This window comes from Homo sapiens, chromosome 11, assembly GCF_000001405.40.
Source record: "Homo sapiens chromosome 11, GRCh38.p14 Primary Assembly".
In the NCBI taxonomy this organism is placed as follows: Eukaryota; Metazoa; Chordata; class Mammalia; order Primates; family Hominidae; genus Homo; species Homo sapiens.
Window position 1 is genome coordinate 6,496,978 of NC_000011.10, and position 22,300 is coordinate 6,519,277.

Consider the following 22,300-nt stretch of genomic DNA (forward strand, 5'->3'; position numbering starts at 1 on the left):
GGATGGGGGAGTACCAAAGACATACCAAAGACCTGGCACTAGTTTAGATACTCAGCGAATGGATATAAACACCTGCTTACGACACCCTCTGGATTGCTAGTCTCCCGAGTCAACCGTACTGCACGTGCAGTTCAGACCCCGCCTGGTCCTCTACAGGTCCCTGTCCCAGGCAAGCCTTAGCCCACAGGTTGAACCTAGTTCTGCCCCTCCAGGCTTGGGCTCTGCCCTCTCGGCCCCGCCCATATCGGACCCTGGCCCCTCCTCTTTCTGGCTCCCCCGGATGCTCCTGGCAAAGACTCGGTCCTTCTGGAATCTTGTAACGGTTCTAACAGCTGGGTGCGGGTGGAGCTGCGGGTGAGTCCTCGGCTCCGGATCCATTTCTCTTTGTTCCCTAGGACCCCCTCCCACAGAGTCCGCCTCCTCTTCCCCGCTCTCCCAGCCCCCTCCTTTGCCTGTTAACGTCTTCCCCTACCTGCATCCTGACCATCATTTGCTGTGCCTGCTCCTCGGCTTTCTGTCTTCACGACCTCCTTAGGCTGTGGGCGAAGACGTCATGGGACTGGGGCTCTGCTGCCTTCGAGTGACGACCTGTTAACCCGTTTTTCAGGCGATCGCCAGCTCGAGTGCAGATTCCTTGCTGTGACCGAGGTTCAGAGTGAGCTCTGTCGGTGTGTCAGTTTGCCTCTTCAGGTGATTGCACGTCTGTGTGCGAGTCTCTCCGTGTATGGGTGGCTATGATTAGGGTGAGCCTCAGACTGGAACTCAAGTCTAAGTTCATTCACTGCTCCAGCAGGCACTCTTCAATGAAACCTCATCAGCAGATCGGGCTCTCTTCCCTTGCCTTGCCTCCTAACCCCCCTAGGCCAGGTGAGGGGGACAGGGTACTGGGAGGTAAGAAGGAACTCTTCTGCAAGGAGGGCTCTCACGTCTGTCTTAGGCCTGCTCCTTACCAGAGTCTTTGGGGAAGCAGTAGGGAGGGCCTGAGGGTCTCAGGAAAGGCTCTCTGCTGGTCTGGCTCTGCTCTGTAGCTCCATCTATTTCCCTGTCCCAGGTCCTTTCTTCCTCCTAACCCCATTGACTCTGACCATCCCCTGCCCAGAGCCTGAGGTCCCTTCTCTGGCCCCTCTGCTGGGCTGGCCCATGCAGGTGAGGCCCCGCATCTGGCATCCTGGAACTGGCAGTTGGAGCCTGAGCTATGGGCAAGGTCACTTCGACAGCAGTTGAATGCCCAGCTCCTCATGGTCCCGGAGGAGAGGAGGGTAGGTTTGTCTTCTGATGAGACATCATCTGATTCCCTTAAGTCTTGGCACTCCATATGTGTCTTGGACAGCAAAGAACAGCCCTTGGCCTGCCAGCAGAAACAGAGGCAGTTCGTGAAGCCAGTGACTGAGTCAGAGCAGCCCACAGTGCTGGAACTCCTGCTAGCTGAGCTCCGAACTCTGTTCTCAGCTGTGTTGCAGGACAGTAGCCCTGCAGCTTGGCGCTATCTTCATGCAGTACTGGGTCTACTGCCTCCATATCGTGAGTTGCTAGTTGGCCACCTTGATTTGCTGCCCTTCCTGGAGCAGCTGTACTGCTGGGCACCCTGGGTCCAAACCCACCTCCATCTGGACCTGCTAGGTGCCATTGTCCAGGCCTTTCCTCCAGACAGCTCTTTGTTAGACAGTGCTTCCCATGCTGACTGCTGTCCCCAGAAGCGGAGGCTCCATCACAGGCCCCCATGCCCAGCTTGCCCTTTTGTGCAGGCCCAGTGGAGCAGGCAGCAAGTAAAGGAGGAGCTGGCCACCTGGCTGCGACCATTGACACTGCCTGAGCTACAGCGCTGCCTGGGCATTGTTGGTGCTCAGGTGGCCCTAGAAGAGGCTGTGTGGCTGGATGGACTTAGTCTCCTTCCCTTGGCACTGGCAGCGGACATCCCTGTACGGTATGAAAGCAGTGACACTGACAATGCAGAGGTGGAGCCTGTTGGAAGAAAAGAGACCAGGTAAGTGAGGGACTCAGTCTAGGGCTTGAGCAGAGGAGAAAAAGTTGCTGTTTTATGGGTGCCTCTGGGGTCACTTGGAAGTTTAGATCCAGCTCTCTGTTTATCACAGGGATTAGCCCAACTCCACACAAAGCTAGTGTGAGGCTACTTTCCTCTTCCTTTTTCTCTGCAAAATAAACCCAGTGGTGTTAGTCTTAATCCCCATAGAGAAATACAGAAATTAATGAAAATCAGAAGTCAGCTATGAGGCAGCCAAAGCTTTAGAATAACAGCTTGACTTTTCAGTTTCCAGGTTTTTTTCTTAGATGATGTCAGAAGTCTCCTTAATTATTTTTCTATAATTCATTCATAATCACTGAACATTGCCTGGGCCTACTGTGAGTTGATTCCTGGATGTTGGGTCTTTCCCTCAAGGTACCCCTGGGGAATGTGTGTCCGAGTGTCCTTCCCACATGTCTATGTGACTTAAACCGGCTCCAAGGCAGAGTGGAGTTGGCAGCACTACTGGATAGAATTTCATTTTGACCCTTCCAGAGTCTTCTTCTTGCCCTGCCAGTGTGGGCACTCTGGCCCCTTGAGTGATATATTTTTCTTTTGTTTCTTTCTTTCTTTCTTTCCTTTTTTGAGATAGAGTCTCACTCTGTCGCCCAGGCTGGAGTGCAACGGCATGGTCTCGGTTCACCGCAACCTCCGCCTCCCGGGTTCAAGTGATTCTCCTGCCTCAGCCTCCTGAGTAGCTGGGACTACAGGCACGTGCCACCATACTCAGCTAATTTTTATATTTTTAGTAGAGACGGAGTTTCACTATGTTGGCCAGGCTGGTCTCGAATTCCTGACCTCATGATCCGCCCACCTCTGCCTCCCAAAGTGCTGGGATTACAGGCGTGAGTCACTGCGCCCGGCCCTATTGTTTTCTTTTTTAAAATATCTGGCTATCAGAGCTCTCTACAGGATTTCAGAATGCTTACAGAGACCTTCTCTTCTCAGCGTTCTCTAACTTTCGATTTTTTTTTTTTTTTCTGAAACAGAGTCTCACTCTGTCGCCCAGGCTAGAGTGCAGTGGCCTGACCTTGGCTCACTGCAACCTCTGCCTCACAGGTTCAAGCGATTCTTTTGCCTCAGCCTCCCGAGTAGCTGGGATTACAGGCTCATGCCACCACGCTCAGCTGATTTTTGTATTTTCAGTAGAGACAGTGTTTCGCCATGTTGACCAGGCTAGGTTTCCAACTCCTGGTCTCAAGTGATCTGCTCACCTCGGCCTCCCAAAATGCTGGGATTACAGGCATAAGCCACCGTGCCCAAGAGAGTTTTTTAACTTTAGTTTTGGAATTCTCCTTGTCCTCTGGCCTCATTTTCTAGACAATGCTTTGCAGCTGTCTGTGGCACATTTACTGTTCGGGAAGAAGGCTAGTTTTACCTTTAATTAAGGTTGGCTTCCTCAGTTTTTGCTGTAAGTTTATGGCTGGGTCAAGTCTTTCCATTAAAGCCTAATGTTAGATAGATAGGCAGGCTCCTGGGGCCCTAATGGGAGGTGGCCAATGCCATAAATTTATGGTGGCCCTATTGGAATCTTTTCCTTTTTCAAAGAGCTGCCCTGTGCCTTGAGTACAAGTTTCCTTTCCTGGGAGAACTTGACTGAATTGGCATGGGCTGAGATGTTGGGAAGGGATCAAGTTCTTTGCCCTCCCTTTGAACCTGGCAGTAAACCTCTGAGGTCTAGCTAATATGGCTTAATTTGCATTACGTTCTCCCGGAGTGGTTTGCCAGGCATTCATTCATTCAATAAGTGTTGGATAGCTACATTTATTAGGATCTGCAAGATGCTAGGGATACAGAAGTGAATGAGACAGACTCAATCCCTTCACTTGAGGTATTACAGTTTAGTTAGGGAGATATAGTTAAGTTGATAACAAGTAAAATATAATTACAAATTGTAATAAGTGCTATAAAACAAAAGAATACTGTCTTTTGCCTGGCTGCTTCTCTGCAGGTGGGAGAGAGAGAGAGAGGGAGTGTAGTTAGGGGGAAAGCATGTGGGGGGAGTGTTCAAGTCTAGATTAGATTAACAAAAACATCAAACAGAGTTTCAAGGAGGAGGGAGCAGTCAGTAGTATTACATGTTAAATGAGACAAGTAAGAAGAATGAAAATGTTCATTGGATGTAGTAACAAGGAAGAGGTTAAGTTTTGTGGGGAGGAAGCTAGATTGTGGTGCATTGAGGAGTGAATGGAAGATGAAGTGGAAATCGCATTTTACGATTTTTTTTGTGAAGCTTAGCTTGAAGGGAAAAGACAAATAGCAGGGCAGCAGCTTGAAAGAATTTTGGTGTCTGGGTAGGGATTTTTTTTTTTTTTTTGATAGAGAGATGTTTATATCCCTTAACACAGTGCTTGAGAAGTAGGTGCTCAATAAATATTCGTAGACTAAATGAATAAATAGACTAAGGTAAGAAGAAGAGTAGATTAAAAATATATCATAGAGAATAAGGGGTCCAGAGCACTGATGGAGGAATTAATCTTACAGAGAAGAAAGGATACCTCTTCCTCTGAAATCGGGGGACAGATAAGTGTGTGGGGGAAGGCAACTGAAGTTGAGGGAATTGGCTAATGGCTGAAAACTTCAGCTTTCTCCAGGCAGAGAAGGAGACAGAGAATGGGATGGAACTGGGAGCTCAGCAGGGCTTGCATGGGGTTAGGGATAGCAGTTTGAGAGGCCTGAAAGAGGTAGCTGTCTGAGGACTTGTGTGAAGACATCAGGCAGAATGAGCCCACAGCTGATTGGACACCAGGAACCCGTAGAGGAGCAAATGTCCTTGGTTTTGCGATCTTCTGAATATACTATATAATATAGGACTTTGCTGAGAAAATGAACCTATAAGAGCAATTATACCATTTAAGATGTCCTGATCCAACACAACAGTTCATCAAGGACATATGTATAAAGGTTATAAACCATATTGTTGATATGAATTCTAGAATAGGATTGCACTGTTATCCCTGGGGAAACTTGTGTTGATCTAAGTTTGGGTCAGTTAATGATACTGGTATATTCTGACTGGCTAAGTCTAAGTTAAATCATTCCAGAGTTTTTTTTGTGTGTGTGCTCTCAGGTCTCCCCAACTAAAAATTATTAGTCATTCACTTTTGAGTTATTGGTAACTAATTTCCATACCAATTTTGTTGACCAGAATGCAGAAGAGTAAGAGGATGAGTGTATTGGTGCAGGCTTGAGGGGGCCACCATTGGATCTTGGCAGGAAAGGAAAGAATATGAAGCTAGAGGTTGGGTGATGGTAGGGGAAGAGCAGAAAATGTAACAGGCATGGAGATCATTCAGGGTTGGAAAGCAGGTATAATGGAATCAAAGATAGGATATTAAATCTGAAAGGCCAAGAAGGTTGAGCTGGGAGGGGAAATCCAGTACTGTGGGCTTACAGAGCAATGAGTTGGGAAAATAAAGTCTTCCCATTATTTGTACACAGTATTATGTAATACTGACTTCATGGTAATTCCAATCAATCCAGAATGATTATTTGTTTATCAGAAAGGGAGAGGTTGCTCACACACATGTTTGTGTCAATATTGTTGCCTAACTGTGTTCTATGATACGCTATATTTGCCCAGTATGTGGTATCTTTGAGTATAGATGGTAGTCAGGCTCGACAATGCCACGTCAGGTCTCCTCAGGCACCTGATCTAGTCCTCCTTTCACTAGCCAACAGTGGCAAGGCCTCCCTCTAAGGTACTTGACCTTTTTACTCTGCCTTTTCTCTCCTGATTTTCTGTCACACAGGTCTCAGCTTGACTATGAAGTTCCCAGGGAAAAGGCCTTCCAAAAGAGCAGCACCGGCTTTTCACCTGAGACTTCCTTCCTGGATAGCCAGGTGATGACTGCTCTGAAGATGGAGAGATACCTGAAGAAGATCCACTTCCTCTATCTCAATGTGGCTCCCAGCCGGTACTTTAGGTGATAGCCTATGTCCAGGCCCCTTCTCCTCCCCCTGCCTGGTTTCCTTCTATGCTATCTTCCCCCTCCTCTTTCTCCACGTGCGCACCCTTCTCCCTGTCCTTTCTCCACATACTCCTCCTCTGACTCTAGTGTCCCTCTCTCTTCCCTTCTCCTCAGCCTCCTCCTCCTTTCCACTCTCTACCTCCCCTTCACTCCCTGTTGCTTACACAGCCTTTTGTCTTACACATCCTTTTCTCACATTTTGCTCTTTCTTTTTTATTCTATCCTAGAATGATAGAAACATTTGTTCACAGCCTTAGAAGTAAATTTTATGGTGATCTATTCCAACTCCAATGGAAGAAACATGTGTTTGTTTAAATCTTTACAGTGTCAGGAAAATTTTTTTCCAGGTATCTTGTTCCTTAGACTGAATCAAAATCTGCATTCTTTTAACTTCTACCTCCTGGCTCTAGTTTATCTATGGGGCTATAAAAACAGGTCTCCTCCTTCCCCATGACTCAAGAGACATTTATTCACTTCCTCTCATTAGATCCAAATCACACCTACTTTTAAAAATTTCTTCTTATTATTTTGAAGCAAGGGCTCACTCTGTCACCCAGGCTGGAGTGCAGTGGCACAATCATGGCTCACTGCAGTCTCAATCTCTCTGGCTCAAGCAATCCTCTCACTTCAGCCTCCTGAGTAGCTGGGATTACAGGCATGAATCACCACACTCGGCCAGTTTTCTAAAATTTATTTTTTGTAGAATGAGGTCTCACTGTGTTGCCAGGCTGGTCTCAAACTCCTGGGTTCAAGCCTCAGCCTGCCAAATTGCCAGAATTACAGGCATGAGCCACCATGCCTGGCTCAAATCCTCGCCTATTTTAAAAAGCCCTATTCAAGTCCATCTCCTCCCAGAAATAATTGTAATAATTGCCTTTAACCAAACTCTTCAATATATTAGGCATTGTGCTAATAAACTCATGACATGTGTTACTTAATCCTCATCTACCAGGTAGGTGCTATTATTATTTCTATATATGAGATGAGTGGACTGATACATAAGAGAGGTTAAGTAATTTATCCAAAGCTACATAATAAATGGTGTAACTAGGATTTAAACCTAGGACTATCTTAATCCAAAAGTTCATGCTCTTAAGCAGTATCTAATACAGCCTCCCAAATAACCTTATTTCCTGTGCACACTGATCTCTTGAACTTAGGTAGCACTAATGATCAATATCATTCATTCATTTACTGATCAATTCATTTAATAAATGTTCACTGAGAGCATCCTGCTGGTTATTAATTGATTGCCTCTTGATTCTAATTCTCCTCCTCCCTCTCTGCTTTGTGATACTGGGGCTGAGATTCTGCAAACTTTTTCTCTTTTTTCAGCTGGCCTTCTATTAGGTTTGATTAATGGAGAGTGCTGGGAGACTGGACAGCAAGATAAGAGGGGAAGGGACTTGCTGCTTCGTTTGCTTGCTCTTTCTGCCATCATTGCCTCAGCAATGGTCTTTCACCCTGGCAGCAGCACTTTCTTTTTGTCTTTTTTGAGACAGAGTTTCACTCTTGTTGTCCAGGCTGGAGTGTAATGGCATGATCTCGGCTCACAGCAACCTCCACCTCCCTGGTTCAAGCGATTCTCTTGCCTCAGCCTCTGAAGTAGCTGGGATTACAGGCATGTGTCACCACACCTGGCTAATTTTGTATTTTTAGTAGAGACAGGGTTTCATCATGTTGGTCAGGCTGGTCTTGAACTCCTGACCTCAAGTGATCCACCCGCCTCAGCTTCCCAAAGTGCTGGGATTACAGGCATGAGCCAACGTGCCTGGCCCAGCCAGCACTGTCTGAATCAGCCTCTTCATAACCCTGAGAGATACCAACACCAGCTGGTAGCCCCTTTCCTTCAGAGTTCTTTTTGTTGTTGTTCTTTTTTTAGACAGTCTTGCTCTGTTGCCCCAGCTGGAGTGCAGTGGCTTGAACAGAGCTTGCTGTAGCCTCCACCTTCTGGGCTCAAGTGATCCTCCCACCTCAGCCTCCCATGTGACTGGGACCACAGGTGCCTACAACCATGACTGGCTAGTTTTTAAATTTTTTGTAGATATGGGATCTCACTTTGTTGCTCAAGCTGGTCTCGAACTCCTGGGCTCAAGCTATCCTCCCTTCTCAGCCTCCCAAAGTGCTGGGATTACAGACGTGAGCCATTGCACCCGGCCCCATTCAGAGTTCTGAGTCTCAACTCTGCAAGGCCCCTCCTCCAACCTCATAGCTTCTAATAACCTGAACCTCTTCCATTTGTTCCTCTAGTTCTGGAGCTGGTTTTTTATTTTTATTTTTATTATTTTTTTTTAAGATGGAGTCTCACTCTGTTGCCTAGGCTGGAGTGCCATGGCGATCTTGGCTCACTTTAATCTCCGCATCTCCGCCTCCCAGGTTCAAGCGATTCTCCTGCCACAGCCTCCCAAGTAGCTTTGATTACAGGCACTTGCTAATATGACTGGCTAATTTTTGTATTTTTATTAGAGACGGGGTTTTGCCACATTGGCCAAGCTGATCTCGAACTCCTGGCTTCAAGTGATCCACCCACCTCAGCCTCCCAAAGTGCTGGGATTACAGGCGTGAGTCACCGCGCCTGGCCTCGACATCTTTTTAAAAACACATTCTCTTTATTAAATTCACTTTGTTGAAATGCCTAGTATGGTTTCTGTTTTACTGACTGGACCCTGACTAACACGGTACTTGGTATTATGAGTGGTCCCAGGAAACTAGCCTCTAATATAGGATCTTCTTTGGTTTGGTAATGTCCTTGGCCTAAAACAGTACTGAATTCCTTGCTAATGGGAAATAGGATACTAGTAATCCATGACACACAGTGGCATCACAATTAATTAAATTATCACTTGTGGTTGAATGTGATACTGACACCTAGTGGCTGCTACACTTGACTGTCATGGCTGTAATGATAGTAATGGTAACAATGTGGGATGGAATGCCTACAAACCATAGTTGGGAGCTTACAGAAAGCAAATGACAAGCTTAGGGCTTTAAACTATCAGCATCTTTTATAATTAGAGAAGCATCTCGATCAAAGACAGTTAGGCACATAAAGAGATAAGAAACTATTGACAAGAGAACTAAAAAGGCAATGGATGATTACAGGGCCAGGATCTGCCAAAGAAGGAAACCCATTGCAGTGAGTTCAGCATTTGGTGCTGCTTTTCCCCAAACAGAGGGACCTCTCAATTCCTCTCAATATAAAGGTAGTTAAATGTCAATTTTACTATGCATTCCTGAGATACTGAAAAGAGGAGCCAAGCTTTCAACAGACTCAGGGAACTAAATGAGCAAAAGTTGCAGTTCAGGTCCCATACCAAAAAGGAGGTATATTTCTGGTTCCACTTTACTCCTGTGTTGTAGCCATTTGGGGTCTCGACCCAAAGGCTGGGGGATTACATTTTTGGGTTCTCTGATGTGTTATACAGATATTATATTTCATATATTATCCAGTTTCATATATTATCCAGATAGTTGGCCTAGTTTTTCTAGTTGTTATCAAGTGGGAATGTTGGTCCAAATTTCTAGTGCACCATCAATAGAACTCTTTCACTTGCTGTTTCATTATATTTATTTATTTGCCATGTAACAGATTTTTTTAATGTGTTTGAATTTATCAAAATTTTAATTGCATTTTCTCCAGTGTTTGATTTACATTTAGGAGAGAATTTATTCCTTCACCTCCTTTATTCTTTGAGTCTTTGCTCAGCTGTCACTCCCCCACCCTTACCACCCCATTTAAAATTGCACTTCCTTCTCCCCTGGCACCGCCAATCTCCCTTTGCCTGTTCTTTTTCCCCCTTCCTGTTGTTAATTACGTTTATCATCTTCTCTAGTAGAATGAGAGCTCCATCAGGGAGGGGTTTGGGTTTGTTGTGTTTAATGATGTATCCTCAGGGCTTAGAACAGTCTGGCATAGAGTAGATACTCAGTAATATTCGTTGAATGAATGAGTGAACTAATTGCCCAGATTAGGGACAGATTTGGTGGGGGTAGATATTGAGTTTAGTACAGAACTTGCTGAGTTTCAGGTGCAAGCAAGATGGAGTTTGAGATGTTTTGGAAACAGCTGAATCTTTGGTTCTGGGACTCAGGAAGATACTGATTTCCCCCATCTACTCTCTAGTATCATGTCATACTCCAGTTGATTCTGAGCCCTTTGAGGACAAGGACTATGTAGAAGTCATCTTTATGTCCCCATCTCTGACCACAATACTTGAACAGAGGGACAACTTGATAAACGGTTTAACTAAGTTCCATAAAGTCAGGGACTGGATTTTTCTTGAACACTGCTGTATCCTCAGTGGCTTACACACTGCTTGCCTTAATAAGCATTTGTAGAATGAGTGAATATCCTCCAAAGGATATTCAGCAAAATGCACCTATATCCCACATTAAATGCAATACATATGGATTGATATAATAGGTGTATCTAGTTACAGTAGGCCAGTTAGCATAATGCTATGTTTAGATACATTTAATAAAGCATTTATTTTTATTTTTCAGTTTTCTTTATATAACTCAGAGCTAGCAATATTTTTAAGCATTACATATATATTTGGAGTATATTTTATACTCCAAAGGAGTAGTGGCCATTGGGAATGAGAAGAGTACTGTATAACTCCTGGCCCTACACAGAAACAGCAGCCTCCATTAAGTAGGTCATAGGAAAAGGAAATATCTCTTGGGAAGAGCCAGGGCTCAGTTAACATAGGCAGCTACACTGTGGGAAGCTAAATGGCCCACTGATTAAAGGAGGGGGCATGAGTCAGGTAACTTTGGTTTTAAATCCTGTATTCTTCCCTTAACTGTCTTGGGCAAAGCTTTAACTTCTCTTTGTTTCAGTTTTCCTATCTGTAATTTGGGGATATGAGTACTATACTTAAGAAACTTTAGTAACTTTGTCAAAAACAAAACAAGGTTTTTGTATGACTTGACTTAGTGTGTCCATTCTGGTATCTATCTAAAAGTTCTTAAGTCACTTGCTTAACAATGTTTTCTAGAAAGTTGAGAGAGATGAGAGATAGAGGAGAGCTATTTTATCTCTTAGACATTATAGGACTTAGGATACAGCTTTTAAATTGCTAAAAATATATGTAATGCTTAAAAATATTGCTAGCTCTGAGTTATATAAAGAAAACTGAAAAATAAAAATTAATAAATGCTTTATTAAATGTATCTAAACATAGCATTATGCTAACTGGCCTACTGTAACTAGATACACCTATTATATCAATCTATATATATTGCATTTAATGTGGGATATAGGTGCATTTTGCTGAAGTAAGAGAACCCAAGACCAACTAAGATTTTAAGATGGCTCTGAAGGTACTTGTCTAGTACATTAGGTTGCAATTTTCCTCTTTATTTGCCTGTTTCGAATTTTCTAGTCTTCCTCTGCTTTTCTCCAATCTCAGTTTTTCCATCAAATAACATTCTGATTGTCTCTGCATGTCTTTCAGTACCCAAGTATATGTGTATTTTATCATGTCTAGAATGAGGATTTTTCACATTTCATCATCTCTAAAATTGTGATGCATCTTACAAATTGATGGAATATCTTATTAGAAGCATTTTTATCTTAGCATTTCATAAGATAATGCTGCAGCTTACGGTGGACAGTGTCTTAGATCTGATGGGATGTAAGATATCTGCATTTGAAGATATGAACTTCTTGGAGCTGGCTAGGTGCCTTTTTCTTTCTTCCCATCTACCTTTGGCTTCGGTTTCTTCTTAATAATATTTGTTTCATCTTTCTAGTTTAAAAATCATTCTGCTCTCTTTGCCCCTTTTTCTCCTTTCTTCTGCCTGCCTTCCTGTTCCCCTTTTTCATCTCCTGTATCCTCCTTTGGTCTCTTAAAGTCTGACCACGTTCCCAGGGCCTTCACTGATCAGAGCTCTTTTTTTAAAGGCCTTACAGCCTGATGGTGGTGCCACCCGACAAGGTGAATCCCGAGCACTACATCTTCTCTCCCTTTGGGATCTTGCATGTACATCCTGTGGAAGGTAGCGAGACGATGACACTGGGTACCTGGCACCATCACTGTGTTCTCTGGCAGCAGCTCCAGTTCATTCCATTCTTTAAGTATTGCCTCTTACGCAAGTCCTTTACCTGGTAGGTAATGACGGATATGTGATTTGGGGGGAAATGGATGACAGCAACAGTATATTATCACTGACCTCTAATTTCTAGTTGGAAGAAGAATGTGAGATTACAGGGGCTGCATCGACTCCAGAAATTCCTAGAGAATCATCTGCTCTTGGCTGTGCCCCACTTTGGAGCTGGGCTACTCCATATTAGCAGGTGAGGTATTAAAAACACAACTTCATTGAGTTTTTAAAAATTAGTTTTACTAAAGGTAATAGTATGTTTGTTGTAGAAAATCTGAAAGATACAAAAAAGCACTAAGAAAAAACCTTTAATCCTACCAACCACTATGAACATTTTGTTGCATATCTTTCTAGTCTTTTTTCTATCACATACACAAAATGTGATCATACCTTACATACTGTTAAATAACCAGTTTTTTCTTTGAACATATATTCTGAACTAGATTATATTCTATTTCATGAATAGAATATATTCTCTATGGAGAATATATGCAATATTCTCCAGGTAATTATATATCTTAAACCACTTGCACTCACGTAATTATGTGTAATGTCAGATCTGGGGGTCTAATTCAGTTGTTTGAATCCAAACTCTGTGTTCTTTCCAAGATATTACTTGGATTCTATTTTTCTTTTTTTTGGAAAAGGTTGGTTATTCCTATTTTCAGTATTTCCTTGCTTTCCCTACATGACTCCTCAGCTACTCTTAGGTATATTCTGTGACAGGAGTTGCAAATTCAGTTGCCTAAAGGGCCTAAGCAGGAAGTATTGAAGGAATGCAGTGGTTTAGGTGGAAGACATTAGGGAGCATGGGAACTGCAATCTGGAGACTGCATCTAAAGAGGATAGTCACTACTCAGTTCCAACTAATTACTAATTGTTGCTGTTTGGGAATATAGGTCCAGTGTGATCAGCTACCTTACATTTCAGGATTTCCTAGAAATCCACATTTTGTTATGAAATTTCTCACTTTTAACTCAAATTTCAACCAAATTTTAACTCAAAAGAATTTTTTTTTTTTTAAATGGAGTTTCACTCTTGTCGCCCAGGCTGGAGTACAATGGCGCGATTTCGGCTCACTGCAACCTCCTCCTCCTGGGTTCAAGCAATTCTCCTGCCTCAGCCTCCTGAGTAGCTGGGATTACAGGCATGCACCACCACACCCGGCTAATTTTTTTTATTTTTAGTAGAGATAAGGTTTCGCCATGTTGGCCAGGCTGGTCTTGAACTCCTGACCTCAGGTGATCCACCCACCTCGACCTCCCAAAGTGCTGGGATTACAGGCGTGAGCCACCACACCAGACCTTCAAATTTTTATTAAAACACTGTATGCTAGCCAACTCTTAGTGACTCATTTTGAAAAACTTTTCCATCTGAATTTAACCCAGTTTGTAACTTCTGCTCTAGGGAGTTTCATCCTCCAGTCTGGCCTAATCATCATGGTGTAATTAAGAGCATAAGGGCTTGGGAGACGGGACAAATCTTATTTAGACCTTGAGTACTAGCAAGGGACTTTAGTATTTGAGCCTCAGTTTCCTGATCTTCAAACTCGGATAAAGATTTCTAGATTTAATTCTGTAATGAGAATTAAACGACACTGTGAATACAAAGTGCCACATTCAGTACCTCTCAGTAGACACTGAATAAATGATGCCCATTGTGACCATCCTGTCTGATTATTAGGAGTCTTTATCCTTTTCAAGGATGTTTACAGTTGTGGAGTTCTCTGGGGCTTGGGAGGTATGGATAACAGGATTGGGCTTCCTCAGGGATGGGCAGCCCACAGAGAAGTTCCAGTTTCATCACATTTGATCCTAAAACTTACCTGTCCACCTAGACTTTTAGGACCTTTAGCTTTCTCTATTCCAAGGAAGAAGCCTCTGCTGTCTCTCCTTCTAAGTCAGACCTTGGTATCTATTTGACCCTCTCTTCTAGCAGAGAGATCACTAGGTATAAGCACTTGCACATACCCCAAGCCTTTTCTCAGCTTGTATAGCTGAGAAAGCAGCTTTATGGGCTTATACTCTTTCAGAGAACTCTCGAGAGGGAGCTGTCACTATTGGTCACTGTTGGTAATATTACAATCTCTATAAATATTTGTGCAGTCTGAGGTAAGCTAGGCTGAGAAGAGGTCAAAGGTATCCAAGGAAGGATTGGGATGCCAGCTCTGACCAGCTTAGTCCTTGATTCTAGGCTTCTGCAGGAGCTACACTCTGTGTCCTGGCTACCCCAGGAACTGGATCGGTGCTATGAGCTGCTGGACCTGCAGACGGCTCTAGCCGAGGAGAAGCATAAGGCTCTACGGCTGCTCCATCGTTGCCTAAACCTCTGCACATCCATTCTTCGACTGGTAAGAGGCTCTTAGTTTATTGTGGACCTCTTCCCCAAGTTGAGCTCCCCAGAGTTTCAGCCTCCTCTTAGTTAAGTTTCTCCTGGAATCCACTGTATGACCTGGACTCTACAGTTGAATCAGAGCCATTTTCCTGCCCAGCAACAGCAGTTTCTGCTCTAGGATGGATGAATCAATAACAGGTGTGCAGAGGCTTGAACTAGACCTTTCCCTAAGGGTTGATCTTGACCTAGGAGCAGGGAGGAGAAGGAATGTATCAATGTCTATTTTGTCTGTTGTTTATGCTGACCTTTGGGAATTAGGGAATTTGAGAACAGGAATCCTGGTCTTTTATGCTGCTGAGCTTATTTTTGAACCTATCTTGAACCTTTGGAAGGCCACTGTAGTTAGTGGAAGGATGCAATGATGGAGTCCTTCTTAATTATGCATATGTTGCATCTGTGATGCACAACCCCTGCCTAGAGTTCTGGGAGGCCCTCCTGTGTACTGACCTCTTGCCCATGGTCTATTATCATGGTTTGTTGTCAGGTGGGGCTGGATATTCACACAGGACTGTGGCTAATTACCATGTGTAGATAGTCCGGTTCTGAGAGAGGAGGCCCACTCAGATTTTGTGAAAATAACTAATTAATGTGAAGGAGGCATACCTTGCCTGGCTTGAGCCAGGTTTTGGGTTCTACATGTTGCTCTAAACTCCATCAGAGGAGGTTAATCACAAAGGACAGAACTCTGAAGTCTCAAAAATGGCCTCAACTGCAAGGAATTTCTTTTCTTTTTCTTTCTTTTTTTTTTTTTTTTTTTTTTTTTTTGAGACGGAGTCTCGCTCTGTCACCCAGGCTGGAGTGCAGTGGCGGGATCTCGGCTCACTGCAAGCTCTGCCTTCCGGGTTCACGCCATTCTCCTGCCTCAGCCTCCCAAGTAGCTGGGACTACAGGCACCCACCACCATGCCCGGCTAATTTTTTTTGTATTTTTAGTAGAGATGGGGTTTCACTGTGTTAGCCAGGATGGTCTTGATCTCCTGACCTTGTGATCCGCCCACCTCGGCCTCCCAAAGTGCTGGGATTACAGGTGTGAACCACCGCGCCTGGCCGACTGCAAGGAATTTCTGTTCCTAGGAGGAACCAATAACTTCTGTTGATTGCTCTGGTTGAAATCTTAAATATTTAAAAATACCCGTAATAAAACATTTTCATAAAATTTTAAATAGTCAAATTCCTTCCCCTTCTAAGAATTACCTGTCCTCTTTATCCTACTCTGTTTTCCTTTTTCTGTCTTCCTTCTCACCTTTAAAAATACTATATAAGTTACTTACTATTTTTACTAATGTCTCATGATAGGTTGTAACCTCCACAAGGGTAGAGATCTTTGTTTTGTTCACTGATGTATCCCAGGAACCTAGGGATATTATTGAACGTCTTTACACAAAGAGCCTCTGCATTTTTACGACTTTGCACTGATTGGACTCTTCAGTGATATCTTCTTTGGATGTTTTAGAAGAGTGGCTAAAAAAGGAAATTCATAGTCTCTCTTTAGGAGGTTTAGAGGAAAGGGGCCAAAGGCATTAGCAATGTCAAGATCCTAAAGCCAAGGTGCAGGAGTGAAAAGGAGGCAGTGGCCTTTAGCTTCCAGACAATAAATGCTGGACCTGCCATTGTACCAAGCTGAATGAGGCAGGAGATGGGGGTGAGCTGCTCCACAGCCTTTCTCTACCTCTCAGTTCCTCAATCCCACCTTTAATGTTATAAAAATAGTTATAACTTTTTGAAATTCAGTAGTCAATTTTGTATATTAAGGTATAATTCATATACAGTAGACAAATTTTAACTGTAAAGTTGTTGAATTTTTTGCATTTGTATTTGTATTGCTATATATTTGTATACCTGGATCACGATAGAGAACATTTCCAGCACCCCAGCAAGCTCCCTGGTGCCTCTTTCATTGATACCCCCGCAGAGGTAACCAGTACTCTGACCTGTGTCACCACAGGTTAATTTTGTCTCATTTTGAATTTCATGTAACTAGAATTGGACAGTGTGTGCTCCTCTTTGCCTGACTTTTTTCACTCAACATTATGTTTGTGAGATTTATCCGTAATGTTCTAGGTAGCAGTGGTTTACTCTTTTTGTATAGCTACGTAGTATTTCACTGTATGAATGACCACAATTTATATATTCATTCTTCTATTGTGGACATTTGGGTTGGTTCCAGTTTTTTACTATTATGAATAACACTGCTGTGAACATTCTTGTACATGTCTTTTGGTGGACATAAGCATTTATTTTTTTGGGATATATATGCCAGGAGTGGAACTGCTAGAATAGAATATATGTATGTTTTATACTGCCAAACAGTTTTCCAGAGTGGTTGTACCAGTTTACGTTTCCATCAGTGATGCTGATTTCCAGCTGCCTTTCATTCTTTTTTTTTTTTGAGACGGAGTCTCATTCTGTCGCCCAGGCTGGAATGCAATGGTGCAATCTTGGCTCACTGCAAGCTCTGCCTCCCGGGTTCACACCATTCTCCTGCCTCAGCCTCCCAAGTAGCTGGGACTACAGGCACCTGCCACCACGCCCGACTAATTTTTTTTTGTATTTTTAGTAGAGACGGGGTTTCATCATGTTAGCCAGGATGGTCTCAATCTCCTGACCTCATGATCCACCTGCCTCAGCCTCCCGAAGTACTGGGATTACAGGTGTGAGTCTGGCTGTGTCTCCCAGGCTGGAGTGCAGTGGTGTGATCTCAGCTCACTGCAACCTCCACCTCCTGTGTTCAAGTGATTCTCCTGCATCAGCCTCCCAAGTAACTGGGATTACAGGTGTGAGCCACAACACCCAGCTAATTTTTATATTTTTAGTGGAGACAGGGTTTCACCATCTTGGCCAGGCTGGTCTTGAACTCCTGATCTCAAGTGATTCATCTGCCTTGGCTTCCCAAAGTGCTAGGATTACAGGTGTGAGCCACTGCACCTGGCCTCAGTTGCCTTTCATTCTCACCAACACTTATTTTTTTTCTTTTCCCTCCCTCTCTCTCTCCTCTCCCTCCTTTCCTTTCCTTTCCTTTCCTTTCTCCCTCCTTCCCTCCCTTCTTTCCTCCCTTCCTCCCTTTTTCTCTCCCTCCCTCTCTTCCTCCCTCCCTCCCTCTCTTCCTTCCTTCCTTCTGTGATTTTGTATTTTGATATAATTTCAAACTTATTAGAATTGTAAAGATAGTAAGATAAACTCTCACATACCCTTTATATAGATTGTTATTTTTCCCATTTCCTTTATCATTTATGCTCTTTTTTTATAAACATGTATACATTATTTTCTAAATAATTTGAGAGTCAATTGAAGGCATCAGCCCCCTTACCCCTGTCTTAGTTTGTTTTCTGTTGCTATAATAGAATACCAAAGACTGGGTAATTTATAAAGAATAAAAGTTTATTTGGTTCATGGTTCTGGAGGCTGGGAAGTCCAAGAGCATCTGGCGAGAGTCTCATCCCATGGTGGAGGGTATCACATACTGATGAGACATGAATATGAGACAGAGAGAGGAGAGAGGAAATCAGGCAAAACTCATCCTTTTTATCAGGAATCCATTCCCATGATAACTAACCCACTCCCATGATCAGAACATTGATCCCTTCATGTGAGTTAAGCCCTCTTAGCTCATTGATCCCTTCATGTGGGTTGAGCCCTCTTAAAGACCCCATCTCTTAAAACTGTTACTATGGCAATTAAGTTTCCAACACATTAACTTTTGGGAGACACATTCAAATCATTCAAATCATAGCAACTCCTGTATATGTCAGTATGTTTTTTCTGTGAATGAGGACATTTCATTTTATAACTATAGTACAATGATCAAAGATTAGGAAATTTCACTCTGATACAACTCTGTTATCTAATCTCCAATCTTTATTCAAAATTTGGCAATTGTTCTAATAATGTCCTTTATTACTATATTTTTTCGTTCTTCAGGATCCAAACCAGAATTATGTATTGAATTTAGTGCTCACTTCTGTTTAGTCTCTCTTATATGGAACAGTTCCTCAGCCTTTGTGTTTTCCTTACTTGCTTCAAGGCATGACAACTCTGTAATACGATTGGAACATTCCAAGCCTCCTTCCCCACTCCAGATGAGACCAAAAATAGAATTTAGCTGAGATCTTGCTGGGTACTTTCCCCTTCTCTTTTCTGCTTTTTTTTTTACTCCTGTAGAGGCTCTTGTTTCCCTGAAGATCATTCCTTCAATAAATCACATTTCTCCCAATCCCTGTCTCAGGGTCTGCTTCTGGGGAACTCAACCTAAAAGAATATGTATTAGGCCAAGCTCATTCACTGTTTTATTCAAATATTCTATAGACACATTTTTTTTTTTTTTTTTTTTTTTGAGTCAGGGACTCACTCTGTCACCCAGGCTGGAGTGCAGTGGCATGATTTTGGCTTACTGCAACCTCCACCCCCTTGGGCTCAAGCCATCCTCTCACCTCAGCCTCTTGAGTAACTGGGACTACAGACATGGGCCACCGTACCTGGCTAATGTTTGTATTTCTTTTATAGAGGCAGGGTTTTACCATGTTGTCCAGGCTGGTCTCGAACTCCAAGCTCAAGTGATCCTCCCACCTCGCCCTCCCAAAGTGCTGGGATTATAGGCATGAGCCACCACACCCAGCCAAGACACAATAATTTTTTAACCTCCATTGTCTTTCAGTTTCTGAGAGGTATATGTTAAATATCCCTTCCTACCTACAACTATAGATTTGTTCATTTCTGCTTGCTGTTCTTTCAGTTTTTGCAACATGTATTTTAAAATCATATTTTAAACTCATTTTAAAATACATGTTTTCACTCTCTTTTGTTTTGTCATAGTACTCTAATCACTTTTTTTTTTTTTTTTTGAGATGGAGTTTCATTCTTGTCGCCTAGGCTGGAGTGTAGTGGCGCAATCTTGGTTGGCTCACTGCAACCTCTGCCTCCAGGGTTCAAGTGATTCTCCTACCTCAGCCTCCCGAGTAGCTAGGATTACAGGTGCCCACCACCACGCCTGGCTAATTTTTGTATTTTTAGTAGACATAGGGTTTCGCCTCATTGGCCAGGCTGGTCTCAAACCCCTGACCTCACGTGATCCGCCCACCTCAGCCTCCCAAAGTGCTGGGATTACAAGTGTTAGCCACCTCGCCCCACCAGTACTAACCACCTTTTTATGTACACCATAAATTATGTATTTATTATGTTTGCTGTCTCTCTCCCTCCTCCTGGAGGGGCAATGACTTGAGCACTCATTCACTAATATATCTCTAGTGCTTACTGTAGGGTATGCCATTTAGTAGGTGCTCAGTAATTTTTGTTGAGTGAATGAATGACAAGTATGAATTTTTAACCATATCGTTCTCCCAAGCAGAATAAGAACCTTAGCATTATCATACTTTCCTTTCCCTTCTCTCTTCCTCCCTCTATTCTTCCCATTACTCTTATATTGGTATCTCCTGGAATCTTCTTCAAGATTGTTATGAACATTCTTGTTTTATAACCTACTCCTTTGTCTTAGTCCACTCAGGCCTCTATAACAAAATACCATAATCTGGGTGGCTTACAAACAACAAACATTTATTCTTGGAAGCTAGGAAGTCCAACATCAAGGTGATGACAGATTCAGACTCTGGCAAGGGCTCAGTCCTCATAGGTGGCACCTTCTCACCACAGAAGGGACTAGCCAGCTCTCTGGGGCCTTTTAAAAATAAAATTGACAAATAAAAATGGAATATATTCAAGGTGTACAATGTGATGACTTGATAGATGTATACATTGTGTAATGATTACCACAGTCAAATTAATTAACACATCCATCACCACACAGGCTGTACATTAGATTCCCAGAACTTGTTCATCTTATAACTAAAAGTTTGAACCCTTTGAATAGAACTGTCATATGATCCAGCAATCCCACTTCTGTGTATATACCCAAAGGAAATGAAATCAGTATCTCAAAGAGATATCTATACCCCCATTTTTATTGCAGGATTATTCACAATAGCCAAGATATAGAAACATCGATGTGTCCATCAATGGATGAATGATTAAAGAAATTGTGATATTAATACATATATACAATGAAATATTATTCAGTCACAAAAAGAAGGAAATAATGCCATTAGTGACAACACGTATGAACCTGGGGACATTATGCTAAGTGAAATAAGCCAGACAAGGAAAGACAAATACTGTATGATCTAGGACTTCTTTTTTTTTTTTTTTTTTTTTTTTTTTTTTTTTTAAGGGCACTAATCCTATTCCTGAGACTGGAGACCTCATGATCTAATCACCTCCCCAAAGACTCCACCTCATAATACCGTCACCTTATGGGTTCAGATTTCAAAATATGAATTTTGGAGGGACACAAACACACAGGCCATAGCACTACTTAAAATTAACAATATGTCTCACAAATTTCTTTGCCCATCAAATCTTTTGTAGAATACTTTATCCTCTTGGATTCATTTTCCTCTGCATGGAATATATTAATACTATTCCTAATTGTTTTAAGGGAGAATCTGTGGATGGAAAATTTTCTGAGTCTTTGTATATCTAAAAATGTTTTTATTTATCCTCAAACTTTAATGATATTCTGGCTAGGTATAGAATTCCAAGTTTTTTATTGTTATCATTACTTTTGAGACAGAATCTCACTCTGTTGCCCATGCAGTGGCATGATCAGGGATCACTGCAGCCTCAACTTCCCGGGCTCAGGTGATCCTCCCACCTCAGCCTCCCGAGTAGCTGGGACTACAGCAGTTGATACCGCCACGCCTGGCTAATTTTTTGTATTTTTTGCAGAGATCGGGTTTCACCATGTTGCCCAGGCTGGTCTCAAACTTCTGGACTTAAGTGATCCACCCTCCTTGGTCTTCCAAAGTGCTGGGATTACAAGCATGAGCCACTGTGCCCATCCTAAACATTTTTTTCACATAATTTGGCTGTTATCACCCCTAGTATTGGTGCTTTAAAAATGTATACTGATTACGTTCTATGGTATTAGCAATTATTATTGTTGTCGTTGGTATGGTTTTATCCTAATGGCACTCAGTAGGCTCTTTCAATGTGAGATTATACATTCTTTTTACAAACATTTACTGTGGAACTACCCCATGCCAGGCACTGTGTCAAGCAATAGAAAAATGAAATAAGGTGTAACAGAGATCGCCTCCTAAAGGAGCTTACAGTGTAGTGGATGAGTTATATAAATAACAAAATGATGGTGCATTGGACTAAGGGTTATGAAGTGGGAAGCACTGGGTATTAGGGAGTATTGTTAGAACATGGAAGAAAACATCTCACTTAGTCTCATATACAAAATCATCTTATGCATAGGGCATGTTTGTATATGATGTCCCGTGCTTAGGACTTAACTGTCTTATGCTTGGGTCTGAGAAGACTGGGGCTTGAGCTCATGGATACCAGAAGTACAATTCACAGAACCAATCAGTTCTAATCACAAGCTCTAGGGAGCATCAAAAGGAACAGGAAAGCAGGGAAGACAAAGGATCCATCTGGCCAAGCATAGCTTTCTGGTACCTCTTCTCTGTTCCTCAACAGTAAAAGCCCAGAGCATTGGCAATTGTCAGCAGCCTTTATAGGCTGAGGAACCTCCCAGATCTGAAAGAACTCACAAAAAGGCTCCCAGGCTTTTATTCCACATTCCCTCTCCTCTAATAGAAAGTCTATATCAGTGCCCAGAAACAGCTTCTATTATAACATAAACCAATATCATTCTACTCAGCAGGCCACATCACCTAGCCTAATTATTATCCAGAGTCCATATCCTGAAATTATTGTTTAGCCTTATTTATCCCATCTTTTTCTTTTTG

At 42.7% G+C, this 22,300-nt stretch overlaps 1 protein-coding gene across 2 annotated transcripts in view; it reads left to right on the top strand.

Moving 5' to 3' along the window:
- Nucleotides 1-302: 302 nt before the first annotated feature.
- The window catches only part of DNHD1 (dynein heavy chain domain 1), a 74,741-nt gene continuing 52,743 nt past the window's right edge, over nt 303-22,300 (top strand). Inside the window, exons 1-7 of one of the 2 annotated variants that reach the window (NM_144666.3) lie at nt 303-354; nt 608-690; nt 794-1,984; nt 5,776-5,949; nt 11,903-12,106; nt 12,185-12,295; nt 14,296-14,452. In NM_144666.3, coding sequence (NP_653267.2) covers nt 1,239-1,984; nt 5,776-5,949; nt 11,903-12,106; nt 12,185-12,295; nt 14,296-14,452 — 1,392 coding nt within the window. In that variant the 5' untranslated portion in view covers nt 303-354; nt 608-690; nt 794-1,238. Of the gene's footprint in view, nt 355-607; nt 1,985-5,775; nt 5,950-11,902; nt 12,107-12,184; nt 12,296-14,295; nt 14,453-22,300 lie in introns of both variants that reach the window. The other variant, NM_173589.4, reaches the window with a different exon arrangement.